At 38.6% G+C, this 25,494-nt stretch overlaps 1 protein-coding gene across 4 annotated transcripts in view; it reads right to left on the minus strand.

Moving 5' to 3' along the window:
• The window catches only part of HYDIN (HYDIN axonemal central pair apparatus protein), a 428,639-nt gene that overhangs the window by 382,089 nt on the left and 21,056 nt on the right, over window positions 1-25,494 (minus strand). For all 4 annotated transcript variants that reach the window (NM_001270974.2, NM_017558.5, NM_001198543.1 and 1 more), the window contains exons 2-3: window positions 2,589-2,746; window positions 693-818 (exon numbers count right to left, since the gene is read on the minus strand). In NM_001270974.2, coding sequence (NP_001257903.1) covers window positions 693-818; window positions 2,589-2,723 — 261 coding nt within the window. In that variant the 5' untranslated portion in view covers window positions 2,724-2,746. The remainder of the gene's footprint in view (window positions 1-692; window positions 819-2,588; window positions 2,747-25,494) is intronic.

Genomic DNA, 25,494 nt, shown 5'->3' on the forward strand with positions numbered 1-25,494 from the left:
ATTGAAAAACTCTCAGGAATTTTCAGAGGAAAATTCTGAGGAACTCTTTGAGAAGAGGTTAATCTCCCCAGCAGCCCAACTATTGGAGGTTCATACCATAATTTGTGCATTAAAAGTAAAGGATATAATTTAAGAAATTAATTAAAAAATAGGAAACCAGACCTTCTATAATCACATGCTCCTAAAGCCTGGAAGGTATGGTTTACATTCGAATATAGAAACATGATAAAATCACTATTCTTTAGAGACAAAAGGATATGTCTGTTACTGGAAATGAGCCAGAATAGACAACGAATGCCTACTTTAATTAACAATTCCAACTCCTTCTTTTCTAGTGGGCAGCTCAGATAAGGAGAGATTACTTGTTACACTAAGACAATAACTTAATTGGGCTTGACTAATATAATTCTTAGAATTACTCCTAACCTGTGTAAACTATAGCGTCAAATAGTATTCAGAAGTAGCTAAGAAAGAAGTATAACTAGTCAAAAGTTATTTTAAAAGAGGTTTGCACTTGCAGTCTTCACCATACCAAATCACAGATATGAAGACATTCAGAGGCAGAAAAGGAGGATTGAAAACAAACCCAATAAAGGATTAGGTAGCCAAGAAACAAATTTTACTTATTGTTCTGGAATTTTGGTGTTGTGCCAGGGCCCACTTTATATGTAAGTACGACAGAGAGCAGCTACCTTCTGATGTGTTGTTTCCCCCATATCTAAGAGTTCGATGATCTGTGGTCGGCACATCAAACGTGTTTTTGCCAGTCTCTGCTCGGTGGTCAGGGACATTTCCTTCAGGAACTCTGAGGGTGTAAGCTAGAATGTAAAACAATAAGAACCAAAGATTCTTAAGTGGATGTACTGAAAAAGTGTTTTCATAAGTACCAGTAATGAATAATTTGTGTTTGCAGCTTTCAGGATAATTCTGGAATGCCACTAAGTTCCCTTATAAAATATTTAAAATAAGTAAATTATATAAGAGAAGTACCCACGCACTTTTGAGGTCTTTGCACGGTAATTGAAAATGACATGTGTTTGCTGTTTCCTTATGATTTTGAAGGAATCACACAAAAGAACCTGAGAGAAAAAAGTCAAGAAATTGCACAGGAACATGTCCAAAGAGCTTAACATTTATGCTCAGAAGAGGCATCTGTGCATAAAACTCTCAGTTTGTAAAGTCACTCAAGGGCTTCAAAAACCAGGAGTTTGAAATACCTCTATTTCTCAACTAACATTACAATATGCAAACAAAGCTTTTGGGTGTTTAACTATGATATGATGTTAGAGAGAAATCTTATAAAATTGCAAAGATCTAGGAAGTGTGACTACATCACTTAGGAATGAGTTTGAACTTTAGAGACATCACAAGGGTGCATTTAGACCTCGCTTTGAAAGAGCTCTGAGCTAATCAGCAGATCCCACAGCCAGTCACATTCACACACCCCAGTAAGAACACAAAATGCTTTTACCCTTTCCAATGTTATGAGAAAAAAAAAGTAACCTAGCATTTAAATAAAACTAACCCAACAAGGGATTAGTTACCCAGAACCAATGTTATTGTGGTTCTAGAATGTTCCTACTATATGTGCAGGGAGATTATGATCATTGGCAGCTACACAATGCTCAAGTATATGCCAAGATTTTTACAAAACATTTGAGGGTATATAACTTAGCTGCTTTATGTTGCCTTGGGTTAAACACAATGTACTTTAAAAATGCTTATTTTTCTACAAATTTTATTTCTGTGATTTAATCCATTTAAATGAAGGTATATTTCTAATACAGCTTTCAACTTGGTTAAGATCTTTTTGATTGGAACCCAGATAAGGACAATAAAATGTTAAGAGGTGTCAGCTATATTGTGATTTAAATTAAAATAATTAGGTCTTAAAAGCAAAATGCCAGGAGTTTCTTTAAATATGTACCAACAACCATCACAAAAGAGAATAATGATTGATTTTATTTCTCTAATTGGAATGTAACTTAAGATTAGTTTTTAAAATGTAGTGAATACTATCCCTGGCACTATACATTTTTACTAATATTTTCTACAGCATGTGGTTCATAAATTATCACCAATCATTATAAATAATTAAAGCTATAAATATGTTTTATTTTAAAGAACAGGAAAAATACCTATTTTTCTTAAATACCACTTAGTCATTATTTTAATGCTCTGTGTTCTATAAATATACAAACAAAAATTACTCTTGCCAATCGGTAGGTAGTAAATAATTAGGTTGAATCCTATGAAATTCTGATATTTGACTGTTTTTGAACTAAACAAATGACAGTTTGTCATGGTGCTACCTAATATTTAGAAAATCTTAATAGTTCATTTGTAAAGTCTCACTTCAACTGATTAGTTTAAGCAAATCAAGCCTCTACTTTGAAGTATGTATGCAATTTCAAAACTTCTCAGGCTTTAAAAGGTATCTACACTCTGCAGAAAGCTACCATTATAACTAAATTGATATTAATCAGTCAGTAATTCTGTTTGGCATTCTGAGAATGCCAAGTAGCAACTGTCATTCTCCTAAGGAGATTGCATTAAGTATTTTACATATTAATTCCCGGATACATTACCATTCGGTTTACTTCTTCTTCTGTAACCACCTTTGGACTCAGGGGTGGCAAAACCTTGCTTTGAAATCCTTTGAACATATTGACCAATCCCATCTGAACAGCCCCCATGGACTCCTCAAGTCTTCTACTTGTCATTTTTAGTAATTTTTTTTTCTCACCTAAGAGTGAAACAAAAATGTCTTAGAACAAATACAGTTAATTCCTGAATACAGGTCATAATTTTTTTTAAGCTTTTTCAAATACAGGAAGGTTTAGAAAATACTGATCTTCCGAAATCCAAATGCTTGGAACAAATATCTCAACAAAGGATTCTATTCCATATAACTAGATTTATCCTTCTCCCAAGATCTAGAATCTATTTTAGACAAAATAAGGGATTCTAGACTAAGCTCAGGAAGACATGGAAGTACAAGTTACTTCTACATTTTGCCCCTTTTATCTTCCCAATGAGAAAAACAAACACTGCCCAATAAACATACTAAATAGTTTGATAATTTATCTACATATTTGAAAGCGCTCTCTTAGGAGAATCGACCCTTCAAACAGAATAAATACAAGGTTACAGGGCTTCACAGCTGGACAGAGATTCGAAATAGCATGAGATAAGACAGGCAAAGGAAAGTTCTGGGAAAAGTTTTAAAGCTTATAGTCATAAATAAGCCAGTGAATAGCCACCCAATATCTCTGAATCAAAGAAATATGGCATCTCCCTTTTGCATATTCTTGCTCAGACTTCTGGTAGAACACTTGCAACTTCAGAAAACCATCTATGACTAGGTAGGGATTTCTATTTTTATTGATAGCAGGCTAGGTTATCCAATCATTGTGCTAAAAAAGAGAACTAAAAATTATTGATAAAATATCAAATTAAAAACCCTAAAACCATTAAAAACAAACAAACAAACAAACAAACAAAAACCTCACAAGACAGTAAGGAAGTACCAGACCAAGACATAGGAAGAAGAGCTATATAAAGGAAAGTAGATTTGAAGGAAAATGTAATAAGGCACACTGAAATAAAGCAGTAAAACACCCAAGGAAATGAATATGAAATTTTAAAAAAGGAAAAAGGGGTCATTATGGCAGAAAGCCTCTAAGATGGCAATCAATGAAACAGAAGACAGTCAAGGAAGATCCACCATGCTATAATTGGAGCTCCTTAAGAAGAGAATAAAGTAATGGAATGAAACTAATATTGCCCTACCTTTGGACAAGCTGATAAGAAAGCTCAGGTGTTCCTTCCTTTGGTTCCAGTGGAAAGTTCAAACAACACAAGGCCCAGACTGCGTAAGAACTATTATTATAGCCCCACCCTTAACCACAATAAAAGCCAAACCAGTATCTTTTCCCTATTCTCAAGTTATTTATTTTTTTTAAATACTTCTTCCCAAGAAGAGGATTTCTATCTTTTTCCCCCCGCCCTAGGTTTTTGCTATGTTGACCAGGCTGGTCTTGAACACCTAGGCTCAAGCAATCCTCCAACCTAGGCCTCCCAAGCAGCTGGCACTACTGGATTCAAGCTATTTTTGAACCTGTTTGGGAGCCTGCCCTGCTCTCACAGAAAGCCTCATTATGTGAACCATAACCTTTTCATATCTTCTAGGCGCATGAGTGGCATCACCAATCTTGACATCCAAACCAAATTTTGGTTGGGGAGCCCATTCTATCACAGCTGGGTAGTGACAACAACAGAAGCAATAAAAAAGCAAAGATTGTGGTCTTGATTTTAAGACAGATTTTTAAAAAATCATTAACAACACAAAGAAGAATATTTTAGAGTGTGAAACACCATAATTCAAAATGATGATGTAACAGTTATTATTATCTATGCACCAAAATAGCACAAAAACCATCCATATAAAGCAGAAATTATGGGAGATGCAAGGAAAAACAAATACACAAATAACAGGAGATTTTAATAAACTACTCTTAGTAAGACCTGTTAGGTGGACAAAAAATAAGTAAGACCATAAAAGATTTGAATGACATAACACATTAAATAGGTTTAGGAATATGTATCAAACACTACATCCTAGTAATAGAAAATATGCCTCCTCAATAGCAAATAGAATGGTGACAAAAATTTGGTTATATATTAAAAGTATAATACCAAAGAAAATACCAGTGGTTCTATAATCTAGAAATATTAGAAGCAACAGTCTGATCATAATACAACAAAGCTAGAAACTTAAAAACAAAACAAAGAAACAGGAAGGTCCATTCTCCTGGAAATTTTAAAGTCTTCTATTAAAGGACAACAAAGTAAAAATTCATGAAAGGAAGAAACTACATTATCCTTTTTGATTATATGATTACAGTTACAAAGAGCTAAAAATATGGTGTTATAAAATATCTAGCAAAGTTACATATGCATGTACATCTGACTCAGCAATCCCTATTCTAGGAATCTATCCAAATGATACACTAGCTAAAATATGAAACGATACATAAACCAGTAACAGTGGTTACCTACAGAAGGAGTAAAGGAACAGGGTAGAGGAGATAGGAATGAAAGAGAGATTTCTCTGAATGTACCTCACTATACAGTGTTGATTTTGAACCATGTAAGTGTTTTACATATCAAAAATGAAAAAAGAAACGGGAAAATCAATTCTTAAAAATAAAAAAGAAACTGAAACAAATGAACCTTGCTGTACATCCAGCTGGTGTCATAACCACAGAGAGAAAACAATTATTCCAACCAACCTTAAAACATAATATTTTTGGCTGGGCGTAGTGGCTCACACCCGTAATCTCAGCACTTTGGGAGGCCGAGGCAGGCGGATCACGCGGTCAGGAGATTGAGACCATCCTGGCTAACACAGTGAAACCCTGCCTCTACTAAAAATACAAAAAATTAGCTAGGCATAGTGGCACGTGCCTGTAGTCCCAATTACTCAGGAGGCTGAGGCAGGAGAATCACTTGAACCTGAGGAGTGGAGGTTGCAGTGAGCCGTGATGGCGCCACTACACTCTAGCCTGGGCAACACAGCAAGACTCTGCCTCAAAAAAAAAAAAAAAACAAACAACAATATTTTGACTGTATTCTCAATGAGATATGCTGTCAAAACACAGAGAAGAGCCGAGAAATCTTATCATTTATCCAGTAGTCTTGCTGTTGGTCATGATATTAGTAATAATATTTTTAAAACAAATAAGTAGCTACATCAATATAGTTAGGAACCAAGCATTTCAGTATTTTTAAAAGTATAAACGAAGAAAAGTTTTTATATTAAGAAACCCTATAATCTTAACATTTAAATTGAAAATAAATACAAGCTTGCGATGATTTTCTCTTTTTAAATAATCTGCCCACTGAAAAAGCCCATAAGCAATGAAAGTCCGGTGGCAATGACAGCGCAGAGACCTGGATTGTAGTATTCAAACACCATTTACCACTAACAGAAATCACAACTCCTTGGAGAAATGGGTAATTTGAGGACAAGGGTACAAAATGTATACAGTGAACTTGGCACATTGTCTCATACCATAAAACAAGAACGTTATCAAGAGCTACCAGGGTTGTCAGGGATCCAGAGCAACTTGAAAGCATTCCCATTAACCAAAGATGAGACAATTTGAGCATAAAAAAAAAAAAGTCGGCAATAGATCCGTTCTTTTAAATCTAAATTTAAATGATACTTTAAAAAAATAATTGGTCACCTTTGGAAGTTGCTAAAGCACCAAACTAATTATTTTGGAAATAATAAAAGGAAAGAACCATTTATTTTGCACTATTTTAGTATAAATTGCATTGTTGGTTAACCAAATAGTTGATGAAAGAAAATTACTCTTTATAAAAGAATTCCAACTAATAAATGCAGAAAAATCACAGAAAAATAATTACCATTTTGCAGCCCCTAATGAAATGAAGGATCTTCAGTGCTAAAATAATTAGGTAAGATGTTGCTGAAGAACCTGACAATGGCTCAATCAGGCTGACAACACCGGAGTCCTCTAAATTAATCTTAACACTAAAAGAGTAAAACACAGGCATTATGTGCCTCCTGATGTGACGCAGTACACAGCACCACTTATGTAGTGTTATTGACAGAAATCTAAGCCTCCGACCTACCAGCCCAATTGCAGGAGATAGAGGGAAAGAGGAACATGTATGTTCTGTAAGAATACAATTAATCTAAATCCAGGATGTGAAAAATGTTATAGGAAAATGACTCAGTTTATTCACAATAAACATAGCATGAAAGAGAGAGGAGCAGGAGAGAAGGGTGAGAAGGAGAAAAGAAGGGAAGGAGAGAGAGAAGTTACGAATTAAAAGAGTCTTACACCAACCAAATACAAGAGTAGACCTTGTTTGGATTATGATTTTAAAAACTGAATAATGGATGATATAAAATAATTACTGCTCATCAGATTAAACATTTTTATTTTAAATTCATTAACTAATACTCCTATCAAACTATACCCATTCCAAAAAATTAGTGTTGCTATTGTTGTTGTTATTTGCTAAGTATGTCAATAAACATAAAATAGTTTTTAAAATCATCGTTTGTTTTGTTGAGAAGGATAACAGCATTATGGGTCTGATTTTTTGTAAAAGTTATTATCTGATATTTAGTGAATTATTTACAGGTAAAAATAAATATTGTCTGAGATATACTTTAAAATACTACAGGAAAAAATGCGCGTGTTTGCGTTTACCTAGGTAACAAACCTGTGTATCCTGGACATGTACCCCAGAACTTAAAAAAAAAATTGAAAAATTTAAGAAAAGGCTGTTATAACCAGCAAAACCCTAACACTGGTCAATCCAGCTGTTCCAGTCCTCTACTACACCCAGGCTGTTAGGACTGCCAGAGAAAACCACACAGCAGCCTAGACTCACAACCTTGCAAATTCAGTGTCTGCAGCCTCTGCTGGGCCCCTTAGACCACCTCATCTGTTTCCTTTATTAGCTCTCTTCCCGGCAGCTATTTCTCTTCCTGCCATTCTAGAGGGTTTATCCCACTCAGATCTCTTCTGATTTCCAGCTCCACCGACCCAGCTGCCTACAAGATGCTTCCACTTAGGGTGTCCACAGGCACCTCAAGCTCAGCATGTTCCCCCAGCTCTGCTTTCTCCTATATTCCCTCTGTGAATGAATTATCATTCACACAATTGCCCATATCCCAAGTGTAGGCATCACCTATGACTTCTCTTTCCTCAAATTAACCATATAACACATACTTGTGGACTACTTACTATGTGCCTGACAATGTTCCAAGCATTATATGTTTTAGTTACTTTAATCCCCACAGCAACCCTAGATGAAGGTATTATTACCCTTCCCATATCACAGATAAGGAAACTGAGGCACAGAGGAGGTAAGTAACCTGCCCCAGTTCACACAGTAGCAAAGCATAGAGCCCGGAATAGAACCAGTCATTATGGTCCCAGAGTCCACACTTTTGATCATGACATGATTCTGCCCTCACCTTGCTTGTGACTCTACCTCCTTAGTATCTCACAAATTCACCACTCTTTTCCATCCCTGCTGCCCCTCCTTCGTTAATGTCACTACCACATCTTGCCTGGGTAACTGCAACACTTAACTGACCTATCCAACTCCAGAATCATGCCTTTCCCATACCCCAGCCATTCTCCACGCTGCAGCCACAGTGACCTTTCCAAAGGGAAAATTTGGTCATGCCATTTCTCTGCCTAAAATCGTTTCGTCCGGAACACTCTCCACACTCCTTAGCATGCTGTTCATCCCTGGAATTTGCCTATCTTACACTTGATGCTCTACCAGCAGTTCAGAATGTGTCCTGTGCTCACACACCACAGACTCACATGTAACACCAGGAATGCCTTTCTTGCTCTCCCACCCCATGGCAGCTAATTCCCATTTGTCTTTCCAGATTCAGCTGTCACCTCTTTCAGAAAGCTGTGAATGACTCCCAAGGCTGCCCCTTCCTTATGATCTCACAGGTCCTCGTGCTCACTCCTATCATGGTTATTGATCTATCTCTCTCCCTCACCGGACTCTTAAGTTTTTTGAGGACAGGAACTTTGTCTTTTTAATCACTGTATTCCCAGCACCCTGTACAGGGCCTCATACATATACTAATCTAATAAATGTGGTTAATTAATTAATTAATCCATCCATCATAATGACTTTTCCCAAATCTCCAAATATGCCAGCCTATTTCATACCTCTAACAGGCTCATCCTTTCCTCTCACATCCTGATCCCCATCTGCCTAGCAAACTTCTGTTCATCCTACAAAACCCATCTCAAGAATCTGCAGAAGGAAGGCTTTCTCTAGTGCACTCGAGGAGTGCCATAACTCTGTCCTTTGCATATGCCCCTCTAATTAAATGCATCAAATACAGTGCATTGTAATTATTTGCTTACAAGCCTGTTTCTAACTCCAGAATGTAAGCTTCTTGCCTATAGGGATCATGTGTAATTGGCACATACAAGGAGCTCAGTAAATAATTGTTGAAGGAATATTAAATTGCATTTATTAAAAGAGAATTTTCACTAGGCCAAAACACTTCTCAGAGGAACTATTTCGCTCATTTGGTTTGTTTTTCTTAATTTAAAATGTCAGTCTTTGGCTCCTTCCAATGTTTCTACTTAACAGAGTCCAGGTTAAGTAAGAGTTCAGTATGTGTGATGTAATGTCTTCTTTCAGAGAATATTAAAAAGAAAAGTTAGACAAATATATTCTCAGCTAACTCTTAGGAAGGAGAACCAGACAGAATAGGGTTTGCCATTAAAGCTCTGTCTTTATAGATTTGCACCATTGAATTCTAAAAGACAGAAAAAAAAAGAAACGTTTTAGAGTAGACATCCTTAGGCACAAAATTCCTTTTCTGTAGGGAATTGAGTTCTGTTCACCTCTAGGAACTCATAAGGAGCTGAGTCTAAAAGAGTTCAAATTTAGAGTAGACTGCAGCCTTGTAAAGCAGAATCTCATAATGTATATTATTAAATTAGTGAATGCTTCCAGATGCTGCAGGGACGTGTACGTGTCACATTAATAACTATCATGATCACCATAATCATACCCTCACCCCCATCTCTATCATCTCTCTTTGCTTTTTCTTTATCTTAAATGTCTCAAAAAACTCATTTCCTATACTTTTTTTCTGCCATCTTCTATTCCCAAGCCCCTCCCTTCTTTGCAGAAAAGCCAGCAAAAATTTTTTTGCTCCCAGTTAAATCTTTGAACAAGTTAAAATCCTTTCTACCCAATACACAACATGTAAAATGTAAACAAATCTCAAAGAACTTTAATGTCAAACACTGCCTCTTCTATTTACACATGCGTTACAGTAGCCCAGATCCTTTAACACACTTAAATAAATATAAACATTGCTTGATAAAAATGTTTTCCCCCAGTTTTAAAAAAATAATTTTTGGGCCGGGTGCAGTGGCTCGCGCCTGTAATCCCAGCACTTTGGGAGGCTGAGGCAGGTAGATCACAAGGTCAGGAGATCGAGACCATTGTGGCAAATGTGGTTAAACCCCATCTCTACTAAAAATACAAAAATTAGCTGGGCGTGGTGGCACGGGCCTGTAATCCCAGCTACTCAGGGGGCTGAGGCAGGAGAATCGCTTGAACCAGGGAGGCGGAGGTTGCAGTGAGCCAAGATCGCACCACTGCACTCCAGCCCAGCAACAGAGTGAGACTCCGTCCCAAAAATAAAATAAAATAATTTTTGTTTTCCTCTCAGAAAGAGCTGTTAGCAGTAATAAACCAAAACTCTGAGAAACTTATTTCCATTAAGACCAAAGGCTTGGGGTCATCAGACCTAGGTTTAAATCTTTTTTAGCCTCAGTTTCCTCACTAAATAATGGAGATAACAATAAAAAGAGTGAGCCTACTCTAACAATTACCTATTGGCATCTAACAAATTGCCCCAAAACTTAATGTTAAAAACAACAATAATAAACACTACTTATTTATCATAGTTTCCATGATTCAAGAATTCAAAAGAAGTTTGGCTACGTGATTCTGGCTTGGAGTCTCTCATGAGATTGTAGTCAAAGATACAGCCAGGTCTACAGTCATCTGAAGGGTTGACTAAGGTTGGAGAATCCACTTCCAAGATGGCTTATGACCAGCAAATTGGTTCTGACTGTTGGTGGAAGGACTCAGTTCCTCCTCTCACAAGTCCTTTAACATGGCTGCTTGAGTGTCCTCAAAGCATGATGACTGGCTACCTCCAGGGTAAGCAAGCCAAGAGACGATGGGAGAAGCTACAGTGTTCTTTTTGACCCAGAAGTCACACACTGTCACTTGCACAACATCTATTAGTCACACAGATCAGCCCTATTCAATGTGAAATAGGCCACACATTTACATGAATGTAAATACCAGAAAGTGATAATAACTTGGAGCCATCTTGGAATCCATCTATCACATCCATCTCATGCATTTATTAAGAAGATTAAATGAGATAATGTTTGTAAAAGACTTCACTTTGCACAGTGCCTGGCACGTAATTGTTACTGGTGTTATTGTTAGCAGAAAGTTTGGTTTAAAAAAAAAAAAAAGAAAAGAAAAAACTAAAGCGAAAGGAATTCTATGCAATTAACTTTGCTTTCTGGAAGTAAATGTGAATGCATAAAACTGTTCACATGTCTTCAACTTTGGCTTCTGCTACAGTGAGGGCAAGGGCTACTATACTCTGGAATGTTGATAAATATTATTTTTACCCCCAAACACCATTTTCACAAGAAAATATCAAATTAAAAACAAGGAAAATACTCAAATACCGTATGACTTTGGTTGTCAGTGGGGGGTTTTCTAGGCATTCACTGAGTATAAGGATTAATTTTCACTTTTTAATCCTGCTTCATCTTCTAGCTTTCTACTGTCTCTAAAGCTGTTGTGTGCTATGGTTTTCTATTTATTTGATCTTTTTAAAACTGGATTATTTCAGGTTTTATAGGTTTCACATTGGCCTCTGCTCTCTTCCCCTTGAAAAGCTTCTTAAAAACAATCTGTCTCTGCAGGATATGTGCCTTCTTATATCTTAGGTAGATAAAAGAAAGACAGATTCCATTAAGAATTCACTTATTTGACCCATGTTAAAGAAAAGGAAAATGCAGATGTATAATGAAAAGGAGTTTTTCCAAAGCCTCAAATTACAAAATGAACTGCTTCTCCATGGGAAAGTATCAGGTACTGGAAACTTGTTCAAACTGTAGAAGTTTCCAGGTCAGACACAGGCAAAGAAAAAAATCAAATAGCCAACTAAGGACCATGTAGGAAGAAGGAAAAAACAGAAACAGAGAAAGGTATGGTTGCAAAAAGTGCTTATTATTTGTGAGCCCCAATTTACATCATTTTCATGACTCATACCAAGAATCTACAAGTATTATAGTTTCAAAACAGACTACTTTTGTCACAAGGAAATTCAATTATCTTATTTTTCAATTTAATAAGTAGTAGATGTGAAAGGCAATTTTATGTGTCAACTTGACTGGGACACGAGATGCCCAGATATCCAGCTAAACATTATTTCTGGGCATGTCTATCTAGATGTTTCTGGAAGAGATTAGCATTTGAATCAATGGGCTGTGTAAAGTTCATTGCCATCCCCAATATGAGTGAGCAGCATCCAATTAACTGAGTGCCTCAATAGAACAAAAAGTTGGAGGAAGGGAGGATTTACCCTCCCTGCCTGACTGCTTGAGCTGAGATATCAATCTCTTGCCCTCAGTGCTCATGGTTCTCAGGCCTACAGATGCAAACTGGAATCTACACCATTGGCTCTCCAGCTCTCAGGCCTTCAAACCACACCATCAGCTTTCCTGGATCTTCACCTTGCAGATAGTATATTTGTTAGGGGAGTTTGAACCAGGGTAACTCCATGCTGAATAGGGGCTAGGTAAAATGAGGCTGAGACCTCCTAGGCTTCATTCCCAGCCAGTTAGGCATTCTAAGTCACAGGACGAGATAGAAGGTCAGCACAAGATACAGGTCATAAAGACCTTGCTGATAAAACAGGCTGCAGTAAATAAAGCCAGCTAAAACCCACCAAAACCAAGATGGTGATGAGAGTGACCTCTGGTTGTCCTCACTGCTACACTTCCACCAGTGCCATGAAAGTTTACAAATGCCATGTCAATGTCAGGAAGTTACCCTATATGGTCTAAAAAGGGGAGGCATGAATAATCCACCCCTTGTTTAGCATATAATCAATAAATAAACATAAAAATGGGTAACCAGCAGCCCTCAGGGGTGCTCTGCCTATGGGGTAGCCATTCTTTATCCCTTTACTTTCCTAATAAGCTTGCTTTCACTTTATTCTGTGGACTTGACCTGAATTCTTTCTTGTGTGAAATCCAAGAACCCTCTCTTGGGGTCTGGATTGGGACCCCTTTCCAAAAACATATTGTGGGACTTCTCAGCCTCCATAATCCCACAAATCAATACCTTATCGTAAATGTCTTCCTAGATATAGATATAAACACAGATATGGATATGCTATTTGTTCTGTTTCCCTAGAAAACCCTGACTTAAAATAGTACAGTATCTACTATATGCAAAGAACTATGTTAATTAATTCTAAATAAAAACATATTGTTTTTGAGGAGTAAAGATGAAACTCAGTGATACGGTTACTAGCATATGGTAATAAGCACCTAGAAATCCAACAGAATTTTGACCTTGACTCTGCATATCTGCCAACATTCAGGCTTGGTTCACATCTCTAAGTGAAAAGCATTGTTACAGTTTGATTGAGCAGGTGATAAATTTTAATTTCAGTTTCAATGAGGTAGATAAGAGATAAAGTGATATCACCTTTTAAAAGATTTTATTGTGAAATATAATGTGCATACAGAAAAGTGCCTCACATAAAGAATTATTACAAAGTGAACACCTGTATAATAATCACCGAGGTTAAGAAACAGAGCACTGCCAACACCCCAGAAGACCCCTCTCACCCGTAGACGCTCTCTCCCCATTAAAGGTAACCACTATCCTCACTTTTTGTAGAAATCACTTTCCTTGATTTGATTCTCTTTGTTTGTTTGTTTGTTTGTTTGAGACAGAGTCTTACCCACCCCGGCTGGAGTGCAGTGGTGCCATCTTGGCTCACTGCAACCTCCACCTCCCAGGTTCACGCAATTCTCATGCCTCAGCCTCCCGACTAGCTGGGATTACAGGCATCTGCCACCATACCTAGCTAATTTTTGTATTTTTAGTGGAGATGGGGTTTCACCATGTTGGCCAGCTGGTCTCAAACTCCTGACCTCAAGTGATCTGCCCGCCTCAGTCTCCCAAAGTGCTGGGATTACAGGCGTGAGCCACAGAGCCCGGCCCCTTAATTCTCTTTTATGACTTAAGCATGCATCCCTTAACATTATACTTTTGCCTGGCTTTTAATATCTAGATGAATGGAATCACATATTATGTACGTTTTGTGTCTAGATTATTTAACTCTAATGTATCTATTTTATTATATACAGCTGTAGTCCATTTTGTGTATAATAATCCACCATTTGAATTTACTGCAATTTATTTATCCATTCTACCACCAATTAACATTTGGGTTGTTTCCAACTTGAGGTTGTTTCCTATTATTCTATGATGCTATGAACATTTTTGCAAATGTCTTTCCATGCACAAAGGTAATCAGAGTCTATATCTAGGAAAGAAACTGCTAGATCATAGAGTATGTGCAGGATAGGCTCTCTGTGTGGTCTTGGACTGACTCTGTCCTCCCCCATCTCTTGCTTGTAGTTGTGAAGAATAACTGTAGAATATGCTAGGAATGCAACATCCTGAGATGGAAAGGGAATGGCTGGAACTGTCTGGGCTCTGTTCTACTAGCCCCCCGCCAGAACAGGATGTCTTTCAATGCTTTAGCCCAGTGAGTCATATTATTCCAGGGTATAAAAACCAGGGAGGGCTACTTTCCAGGGTCCCTCAGCTGTGGTGCAAAGTGAGACTCCATCTGCCTTGGGATGGAGATGATATTTCCTGAAACTTGGGGGACTGGATTGCAATGAATCCTGGGTTTCTGGGTTCCTGGGTTTCTGCTGTCCCTTGTAATAAACTCACTTCATGTGATCTGTTGTATGTGAGTGTTCTGTCTTAACAAACTCAGACAAGTTGGTAATCGGTGCACAGTGAATCTCCTTCATAGTATGCATATCTTAAGCTATAGTAGTTGAGACTGAATAGTTTTCCAAAGTGGTTGTACCTATTTATACTCCCATCAGCAGTATATGAGAGATCTGGTTGCCATCCAAACTTGCAAGCACTTGTTATTGACAATCTTAATTTTAGCTATCTGGTGGATGTGTCATGATAGCTCATTGTGGTTTTAATTTGCATTTCCCTGATTACTAATGAGACGGCGTATCTTTTCATACATTTGTTGGTCATTTGGATCTCCTCTTTTGTGAAAAGCCTTGTGAAGTGTTCAAGTCTCTTGGCTTTTTTCTATTAGGTTATCTTTTTCTTACTGATGTGCAGAAGTCCTTTAAATATTTTAAATAGAAGCCCTTTGTCAGTTAAATGTTTTTACAAATATCTTTTCCCACTCTACAGCTTGTTTTTGCATTTCAAATGGCTTCATGGGCCTACTTCCAGTTTATCCCTACTCCTTTGAAGCAGCCCTTTGAAATAGAAACCCAAAGAGATGGGGGTTCACTAGGCTCCCTCTATCCTTGGCAGGCTCTGGTCATCAATCCCTGTTGCATTATCCCCAAAAGGCTGCCCATCCACTTAAGTCTCACAGCTCTTCCTTGAAATTTTCATGTGCTCTCAGGGAAAGAAGGGGCTCCAATTTTGGGGTTCACCTCCCTGGGCCTCTACCCTCCCCTAGACTTGGCCTGGTAATCCTTCACCATCTTGTAAGCCTTCTAAAGCCTTGAAGCAAGCTTTGGTTTATAATCTGTCCAGCCTTTCTAGTCACCTTCAGGAGAGGGGTGGGCCTGAATTACCTAGCCTACCATTATCAGAAGCAGAAATCTCTCATTCATAACGTGAAGATGGTATACAGGGACAGATATTAATCTATGCCTAAAGAACTTTCCAATTCAGAAAAGGAATTTTTTTAAAAAAATTTGAAGACAAAATGGCAAATTGTATGAAGCACAATACAAGTGTCAGAGGCGTGTGAACCAGAGCAACTCCATCTTGAGTAGGAGCTGGGTAAAATGAGGCTGAGACCTACTGGGCTGCATTCTCAGACAGTTAAGGCAGTCTAAGTCACAGGATGAGACAGGAGGTCAGCACAAGATACAGGTCATAAAGACCTTGCTAATAAAACAGTTTGCAGTAAAGAAGCCGGCTAAAGCCCACCAAAACCAAGATGGCCACGAGAATGACCTCTGGTCGTCTTCACTGCTACACTCCCAACAGCGCCATGACAGTTTAAAAATGCCATGACAACATCAGGAAGTTACCGTATATGGTCTAAAAAGGGGAGGCATGAATAATCTGCCCCTTGTTTAGCAAATCATCAAAGAAATAACCCATAAAAATGGGCAACCAGCAGCCCTCGGGGCTGCTCTGTCTATGGAGTAGCCATTCTTTTATTCCTTTACTTTCCTAATAAACTTGCTTTCAGTTTACTCTATGGACTTGCCCTGAATTCCTTCTTGCACAAGATCCCAGAACCCTCTCTTGGGGTCTGGATCGGGACCCCTTTCCAGTAACACAGGAAGTGCCCAGGACTAGTAAAAGTCTACTGAGAGCATGGCTTAGGTTTCTGAAATTAACCTGGATCATCCATTCATGCCACCTAATCCAAGACTTGTACAGCTGAAGTCTTGCCATCTTGATTGCTTCATTTTAGGTATCAGGCTGAGATACAATTCCTGTTACCTGAGATGGACATTTAGTATATCAACACTGAATGGCTGAATTACAGTGGCCAAAAGTGAATTTTTTATTTATCTACCAAGCAAGAAAGGGCACATTTTCCAGACCCTTCTCACTTGAAGAACACAAAAGAACAATACATGTTTTTGAAAATACATTAAAATTGAGGTTCTCTGAACTTTATCAAATTCAAGCCTGGGCTACTGATCTTCTTTCAGAAAGAGTCTTGATCCATGCATGGATCTAGACTGGGAAACTCACTATCATGAACACCCTCAGACACCCTGGGGAAAGGCAAAGTACTTATCTCTGAAACATCCAGCCTCTCATTCTAAGTCCATTAACCCAATTGGTACACTCTCTCCCTCCTCTGTCTGGGCTCTCCCTGTTTCCTTTGATCAAACTGTTTAAGGGTAAAATGCCTGGAACTTTCTTCTTCCACCCTGTTCCCTTGTCCATGCTTAGACTCATCCCACAGATCTCAGCTGAAACAGCACTTAATCTAGAAATCCTTTCTCTGAAGGCTTCCTAGACCCTTGACCTCTCTGACATCCCCTTCTTATATGTCCTCACAGCAATGCACTTTTCACATAAGATATAAATATGTAACTAAATTTTTATGTCTTCCTTCCCTACCAGAGAGCAAGCTTCAGGAGGTCAGAGATCTCAACCAGCTTGTTCATTGCTGTTATACATGCCTTGCATAGTGATTGGCATAGAGTCAATAAATATTTGTTGAATGACTGGATTGACAGCTGAATCACTGATCTGTTCATTACATTTTCCTTCTCAAAGATATCTTCATTTAAAAAAAGAATAATTTCGCAGATATTTATTGGTTTTTACTATCCTGCATCCATCCCCCCAACCTCTTGCTGGAAACAATGTCATGGGTTTCCCTAAGGAAACCCCTCACTCCAATCCAGGAGTGGCCTATCCCAGTATTGCACCTCCCTAGCTATATGGTTCAGAACACAGCACATGACCCAAGCCAAGCCCACCAAAGCCAATGAGGCTTAATTCTGATTTTGGGGTGAACTGCTGCAAGAGAGGCAATGCTTTCTTTGTATTGAGGTGCTGAAATCGGGATTTGAGCCTGAAGCTGCTGGCAGCCATTTTGCCCCTAGGAGGGGAGAGGCTGTCTGAGAACAAAGCCACACAAATGACAGCAGTGCCAACAGACTGACTTCTTAGGCCATCATTTGAATTCTTAGATCCAGCCACGAACTTCTGAGTCATCTGAGCCAGTCAATGTTTTTTGACACAAGTGTCATCTGAGCTGTATGCTGTGACCATAGTATCTTGACAAAGTGAATTCCTTATAAATAATTGCAGTCCATCTATTATTTGTAATGTATCATTGCATGAATAACTTGAATAACCATCTAGACTGTAACTTGCAAAAGCAGTTTTTGATGGTCTTTCTCAATTTGTCAAATATGCTAATTTAAACATGGCAGACAAGCTATTTTAAAGCCATGTTTGCCTTACTAAAATATAATAACTTCTATCTTATATGCCTTTGATTCTGTCAACACCAGAGTCTGAAAGACTGGTAGGATTTCAGGAGCACAAAGTGAGAACACCTTTTGTTACTACAGCCATCACACATGACGAATGTTCATTTGGAGAATTTGCTTCAACTATTACAGACACATGCATGGTATGTGCATGTGTATACACACCACTTAAGCTAATCTATTTTATAAGATTCTTATGAATGCTATGCAATTCATATTATTTTCATTGCAGCAAATTCTTAAACAAATACACATTTGTTTACACATTTGCTACAATGAAGAACAGGTATTGAAATTACCATTTATTGATAACTAAAATTCCTTACTTTGGATGCAACCATCAAATCAATGAAGGCTTATTCATATTTTAATGTAAACAAGAGATGTAATGGCCCTCTTTTGCTTGTTTAACAATAAATAAATAAGCTGCAGTCTACCATTTCTTAGTGACTTCTTTATGAAAGAAATCTAAGCAACAGAAATCCTGAGCATATTAATTTCTTTTCCTAACACCTGCAACAATCCATCCTTTCATCCAGTTGTTGTACCAGTTTTTCTAATCTATAGAATTTTCTAACATGAGAAAATGTCTTCTCATATGCATATATAATGAATTTAGTAGATCATTTTCTCAAACCTATTCATCTTGCTTGGATTCAAGTTTGTGTTTTCAATTAAAAATACTCTTTAACTGCTCCTAACCCTTTTAAACAATCTATTAAAATATTTCTTTTGGCTATCCAGTGTAATTCCCTCTCCCTTGTCCCTCCCCTATTCTCCTTCTGGTAAGAACCCACTGCCCTCTCCAGAGAGGTAGGCAGACATAGCCAATCATAGTATCCTATACTCTTCTGCTCTGATTGGTCTTGGGGGTGTACATGTGACCCTAACAATGCCTGTCATAATCCTTCCCTTGAATGATGGCCAGATTTTGGGAAAGAGAAGTTATTTCTTTGGGCTTGCTGGGCCAAAAATGAATTTAAAGGTATTGGTAGCCTCATCACATGGAGAAGTCCTTCTGTAGAGCAAAGCCAAGTATATAAAAGCAGAGATGTGAGCAGGGTGGATAGATGCATAGATGGATGGAAGGAGGTAAGAAAGATGAATACAAGTGAATCATAGCAGACATTGAGAGCAGTTCCAAACTTTGAGACCCTGATGTCTGTGGTTCATCTTTTGATCCTGTGAACCATCCTAGTGTCCTAACTAAACGGACTAATAAATTTATTATTTTGATTAAGCTGTATTGAAGTAAAAGTTTCTGTCACTTGAAATCTAGCATTCTCTATGACAATTACTATATTTGTAGGCATCATACATTTACCTAAAATTTATTCCTGGAGTTTATTAGGAAGATTTGCAAATAACCACTATGCAATGGTATGAATTGCTATTTCCAAGCAAGTTAAAAATGCCTCATTTCTATTAGAATAGGAGAGAATAAGCTTATACTTTTTGTACCTATATATAATATATAGACTAATTAATCTGTGCCAAGCACAGTGAAGTATGCTTTACAATGCCTGGAAATTCAGGAATTAAGAAAAATTGCTGGATCTCTGGATTAGGTAACCCAGGACAGGTAATTCCATACACAAATTATTCTATTCTTATGAATCTCACATTTGAATATGACCAGCACATACCAATGTCTTTGCAGAGGCTCATATGGGTCCAAAGAATTCCAGTCATCCAGAATGTGTGAGTCCAGAACAGATAACAGAAAATAGTTCCCCAGCACATTGGGAGGCCGAGGTGGGCAGATCACTTGAGCTCAGGAGTTTAAGACCAGCCTGTGAAATATGGTGAAACCCCATCTCTACAAAAAATACCAAGATTAGCTGTGCATGGTGGTGCACACCTTTAGTCCCGGCTACTTGGGAGACTGAAGTGGGAGGATGGCTTGAGCCTGAGAAGCAGAGGTTGCAGTGAGCTGGGATCTTGCCAATGCACTCCAGCCTGGGTGACAGAGTCAGACTCTGTCTCAAAAAAGTAAAGAAAATATTTCATTATCAGGTTCTAAAGATTGGAAAACTGACACATTTTACATGCATTTTCTCCAAGTGCTAACAATGTGAGTTATTTTTGCAAACATTATTAAACATATTAATAGTTTGCAAACATTATTAAAAATTGATCTTGTTTGTTAACCAAATTCTGACAAAAAAGTAACACCTGGGAATCAGATTTCCCTTCACAGAAAAATGCTTAGAATTCTTTTAATAAAGCCAGCTATACACAGAAGAGCAAACTTGGATTTACTCATTGACACTTCCATGGCTCCAACTGAAATCAATAGAGAAAGGGACCAGTGCTTTCATCAATCTCCACCAGCCATTAGGGATGTGGCAATTTCCAGAAGCAAGTGAACAGCAAGCTAGTTTGACCGTTCTCGATTGAGTGCTTTCAACATTGATCACTGGCTCTTATACATCCTTACTAGCAGATACTTGTTAAATGCTGCATGTCTACCTTTTATTAAAATGTCAAATGTAATTCTTTTAATTCATATTGGATGGGTGTCATAACAGAATTCAGTAATGAAAACCAATGACAGAGATTGGTTACATAATGTAACACTGTACTTGAGCTGTCTGGCATATAACAGGGCCATTTTTCTTCTTTTAGTTATCACGTTGGTAAATATTGAGAGGAAATTCTTAGTGTGCTGCTTTCACAGGGTTTGGCCAGATCAATTCCCATTAACAGCATGAAAAATATCTGTTTCCACTCTATATCTCTAACAAGGAAAACAATAAGATATTCTTCTAAAAGTGAAGAGGACTTCCACTTCTAGTAATGGCAACTAACAGTTGAACCAACCATCCATGTAAACACAATGAAAAGCTATAGGTGAAAAAAAAATTAATCTCCTTAAAGAGCTGTCAAGATAGTAAATGATTACCAGACCAAACAATAAAAGAAATCAAGCACCACAGAAGTAAGCAAAGCCCTAGAACACCATAGTCACTTTTGCCCTTAGGGCATTTGCTGATCCAGAAAAATCTGGGCCTTGGTTTTGGTGGCCTTACCAGCCAATGAGATAGAAGTCGGACGCTACAATGGCAGACTAGAAGGAGCTCATGTGTGCCACTCTCAGAGAGGGAACAAAAAGGCCAATGAATACAGACCCTACATAGTGATCATCTGAGAAACCACATTGGGATGCATCAGGGCAACAGGGGAAAACAGAGAATAGAGAGGAGCAAAGCTGCGCACCAGCCTGTCTGGGCTCAGCGTGGAGCCAGGAGAGGCTCTCCAACACGGGAAAGGGGAAGTGAGTGAGAACCCCTGGGGGATTCATGCTCTCTACAGACGCCTGTGCAAGACTGGGAATGAGAGAATCATCCTGTCCCCCTGAAACCCATCCCCAACACTTATAGAATGAGGCAGAGAGCCACCCCAGCATTTTGCAGGGGTAATTCCGAGTCCAAGGGGACCCCCACAAGCCTTGGGCCCCAGAGCAGACCAGCACCAGTGCCACAGCTCCAACAGAGGCCACAGTTGTAGTTCCGAGGAGCACCAACATTGTTCTGCCACTGCTTGCCAGCCAGGGCTCAGTGTCAGCTTCTGGCCCACCTCCAGCCTGAAATTGGCTGGCCACCTCTCCTACCCTGCCATTGATAGCCAGCTATGCAACACTTGCTGGAGCCTCCAGCTCAGTGGTTTCATTTTTGCGTGAACTCAGCTGGAGGGCACAGCCTCCTGTTGTCACAGGAAGACCCTACCCACCCCTGCCACTGGTAGCCAAGTGGACAACTAAGTAGAGCTTCTAGCCCAGCAGCCTTGCTTCTGTGTGAACTCAGCTAAAGAGCACAGCCTCCTGTTGTCCTGGAGAGCAGAGCATGTGACCCTACTGACCTCAACCACTGATAACCAGGCAGACAACACCTGCTAGAGCTTCTAGCCCTGCAGCCCTATGTCTCCCTGAATTTGCTGAGAGGTGCAGCCTCCTATTGCTTTGGAAACACCCAGACAGTAGGGCTGGCAATCCTACCCACCCCAAAGGCCCATAGCCAGATGGGCCACACCCACTAGAGTTTCCAACTCAGCAGTCCCATTTCCACCTGAACTCTGTGGGTGGACACAACCCTGTGTTTCCCCAGGAAGCACATGAACAGCAGATTAGGGCTGACCTGGCAAGGACATGTCTTGTTGGCCAACTGCAGCCCCAGCCTGAGGGAGCCCTGTAGACCAGAATATCCAACAAAAGAAAGCAGACACAGAGACAGTAATAGGAGGAGGCTCCTCTAAGACCCAGAAGACTAGAATCGAAGCCAGTCAATCAAACTTGCCTTATACCATAATCAAACATTCAAAGGCATCAAAGAAAATAAAAATCAAAACAATCCATCCAAAAGGACAAAGACTGAAGGAACATTGGCCCACACAGCTGAGAGAGAACCAACGCAAGAACTCCAGCAACTCAAAAAGTCAGAGTGTCTTCTTTCCTCCCAACCACACTAGTTCTCCAGCAAGGGTTCTTAACCAGACTGAGATGGCTGAAATGACAGAAATAGAATTCAGAATATGGATAGAAACTAAGATCATCAAGATTCAGGAGAATGTTGAAACCCAATCCAAGGAAGCTAAGAATCATAATAAAACAATACAGAGCTGACACACAAAATAGCCAGTATAGAAAAGAATGTAACTGACCGATAGAGCTGAAAAACACATTACAACAATTTCATAAAGCAATCACAAGTATTAACAGCAACACAGACTAGGCTGAGGAAAGACTCTCAGAGCTTGAAGACCGACTTTCTGAAATATAACAGTCAGATAAGAATAAAGAAAACAGAATAAAAATGAATGAACAAAACCTCCAAGAAATATGGGATTATGAAAAGAGACCAAATCTATGACTCACTGGTGTCCATGAAAGAGACTGGGAGAAAGGAAGCAACCTGGAAAATGTGTTTCAGGATACCATCCATGAAAACTTCCCCAACCTAGCTAGAGAGGCCAACATTCAAATTCAGAAAATGCAGAGAACCTCCAAAAGACACTTCACAAGAAGATCATCCCCAAGACACATAATCATGAGCCCTCCAAGGTTGAAATGAAGGAAAAAATGTTAAAGGCAGCTAGAGATAAAGGACAGGTCACCTACAAAGGGGAAACCCATCAGACTAACAGCATATTTCTCAGCAGAAACCCTATAAGCCAGAAGAGATTGGGGGTCTATATTCAACATTCTTAAAGAAAAGAAATTCAAACCAAAAATTTCATATCTGCTCAAACTAAACTTCATAAGCAAAGGAGAAATAAGACCCTTTTCAGACAAGCAAATGCTGACAGAATTTGTTACTATCACAACTGCCTTACAAGAGCTCCTGAAAGAAGCAGTCAATATAGAAAGACCATTACCAGCCATTACAATAACACTCTTAGCTACACAAACCAGTGAGACTATAAAGCAACCACACAAACAAGTCTTCATAATAACCAGCTAACTATATGATAACAGAATCAAATCCACACATATCAATACTAACCTTGAATGTAACTGGGCTTGATGCCCCAGTTAAAAGGCACAGAGTGGCAAGCTGAATGAAGAAGCAAGACCCAATGGTATGCTGTCTTCAAGAGACCCATCTCACATGCAATGACACCCATAGGCTTGAAGTAAAGGGATGGAGAAAAATCTACTAAGCAAATAGAAACAAAAAAAAAGCAGAGGCTGCAATACTAATTTCAGACAAAACAGACTTTAAACCAACAAAGATCAAAAAGGAAAAAGTAGGGCATTACATAATGATGAAAGGTTTAATTTAACAAGAAGACCTAACTACCCTAAATCTATATGCAGCCAAAACAGGTGCACCCAGATTCATAAAGCAAGTTTTTAGAGATCTATGAATAGGCTTAGTTTCACAAACAATAATAGTTGGAGATTTCAATACCCTACTGACAGCATTAGACAGATAAGGCAGAAAATTAACAAAGAAAGTCAGGACCTAAACTCAACACTAGATCAAATGGACCTAGTACACAGCTACAGAACTCTCTGCCCAAAGACAACAGAATATACATTCTTTTCATCACCACATGGTACATATTCTAAAATTGACCATGCAATCTGACATAAAACAATCCTCAGCAAACACACAAAAAAACGAAATCATACTGACCACATTCTCAGACAACAGCACAATATAAATAGAAATCAAAGCCAAGAAAGTCACTCAAAACCATACAACTGTATGAAAGTTAAACAACCTGCTGCCAAATGAGTCTTGGGTAAATAATGAAATCAAGAAGTTATTTGAAACTAATGAGAACAAAGACACAACATGCCAGAATCTCTGGGAAACAGCTAAGGCAGTGTTAAGAGGGAAATTTATAGCACTAAATGCCCACATCAAAAAGTTAGAAAGATCTCAAATTAACAACCTAACATCACAATTAGAACTAAAGAAGCAAGAGCAAACCAACCCCAAAGCTAGCAGGAGACAAGAAGTAACCAAAATCAGAGCTGAACTGAAGGAGATAGAGATATTAAAAAAATACAAAATATCAACAAATCCAGAGGTTTATTTTTTGAAACAATTAATAAGATAGATAGACCACCAGCTAGAAGAATGAAGAAGAAAAGAGAGAAGATCCAAATAAACACAATGAGAAATGACAAAGGGGATATTACCACTGACCCCACAGAAATACAAATAACCATCAGAGACTCCTTTATGCATACAAATTAGAAAATCTAGAAGAAATGGATAAATTTCTGGATACATACATCCTCCCAAGACTGAATCAGGGAGAAATTGAATCCCTAAACAGACTAATAACAAGCTCTGAAATTGAATCAGTAAAAAATAGCCTACGAACCAAAGAAAGCCCAGGACCAGACAGATTCACAGCCAAATTCTGCCAGATGTACAAAGAAGAATGGGTACCATTCCTACTGAAACTATTCCAAACAATTGAAGGGGAGGGAGTCATCTCCAACTCATTCTATGAGGCCAGCATCATCCTGATACCAAAACATGGCAGAGATACAACAAAAAAAGAAAATGTCAGGCCAATATTCTTGATAAGCATAGATGAAAAATCCTCAGCAAAATACTAGCAAACTGAATCCAGTAGCACATCAAAAAACTAATCCACCACCATCTAGTAGGCTTTATCCCCATGATGCAAGGTTGGTTCAACATATGCAAATCAATAAATGTGATTCATCACATAAACAGAACTGAAGACAAAAACCACATGATTATCTCAATAGATGAAGAAAAGGCTTTCAGTAAAATTCAACATCCCTTCATGTTGAAAACCATCACTAAACTAGGCATTGAAGGAACATACCTCAAAATAATGAGAGCTGTGCATGACAAACTCAGAGCCAACATCATACTGAATGGGCAAAAGCTGGAAGCATTCCCTTGAAACCTGGAACAACTCAAAGGATGTCCACTCTCACCACTTCCAGTACTGGAAGTCCTGGCCAGAGCAATCAGGCAAGAGAAAGAAATAAAAGGCATCAAAATAGGAAGAGAGGAAGTCAAACTATCCCTGTTTGCAGATGACATAATTCTGTATCTAGAAAACCCCACGGTCTCTGCCCCAAAGCTCCTTGAGC

This window comes from Homo sapiens, chromosome 16 (genome assembly GCF_000001405.40).
Source record: "Homo sapiens chromosome 16, GRCh38.p14 Primary Assembly".
NCBI lineage: Eukaryota > Metazoa > Chordata > Mammalia > Primates > Hominidae > Homo > Homo sapiens.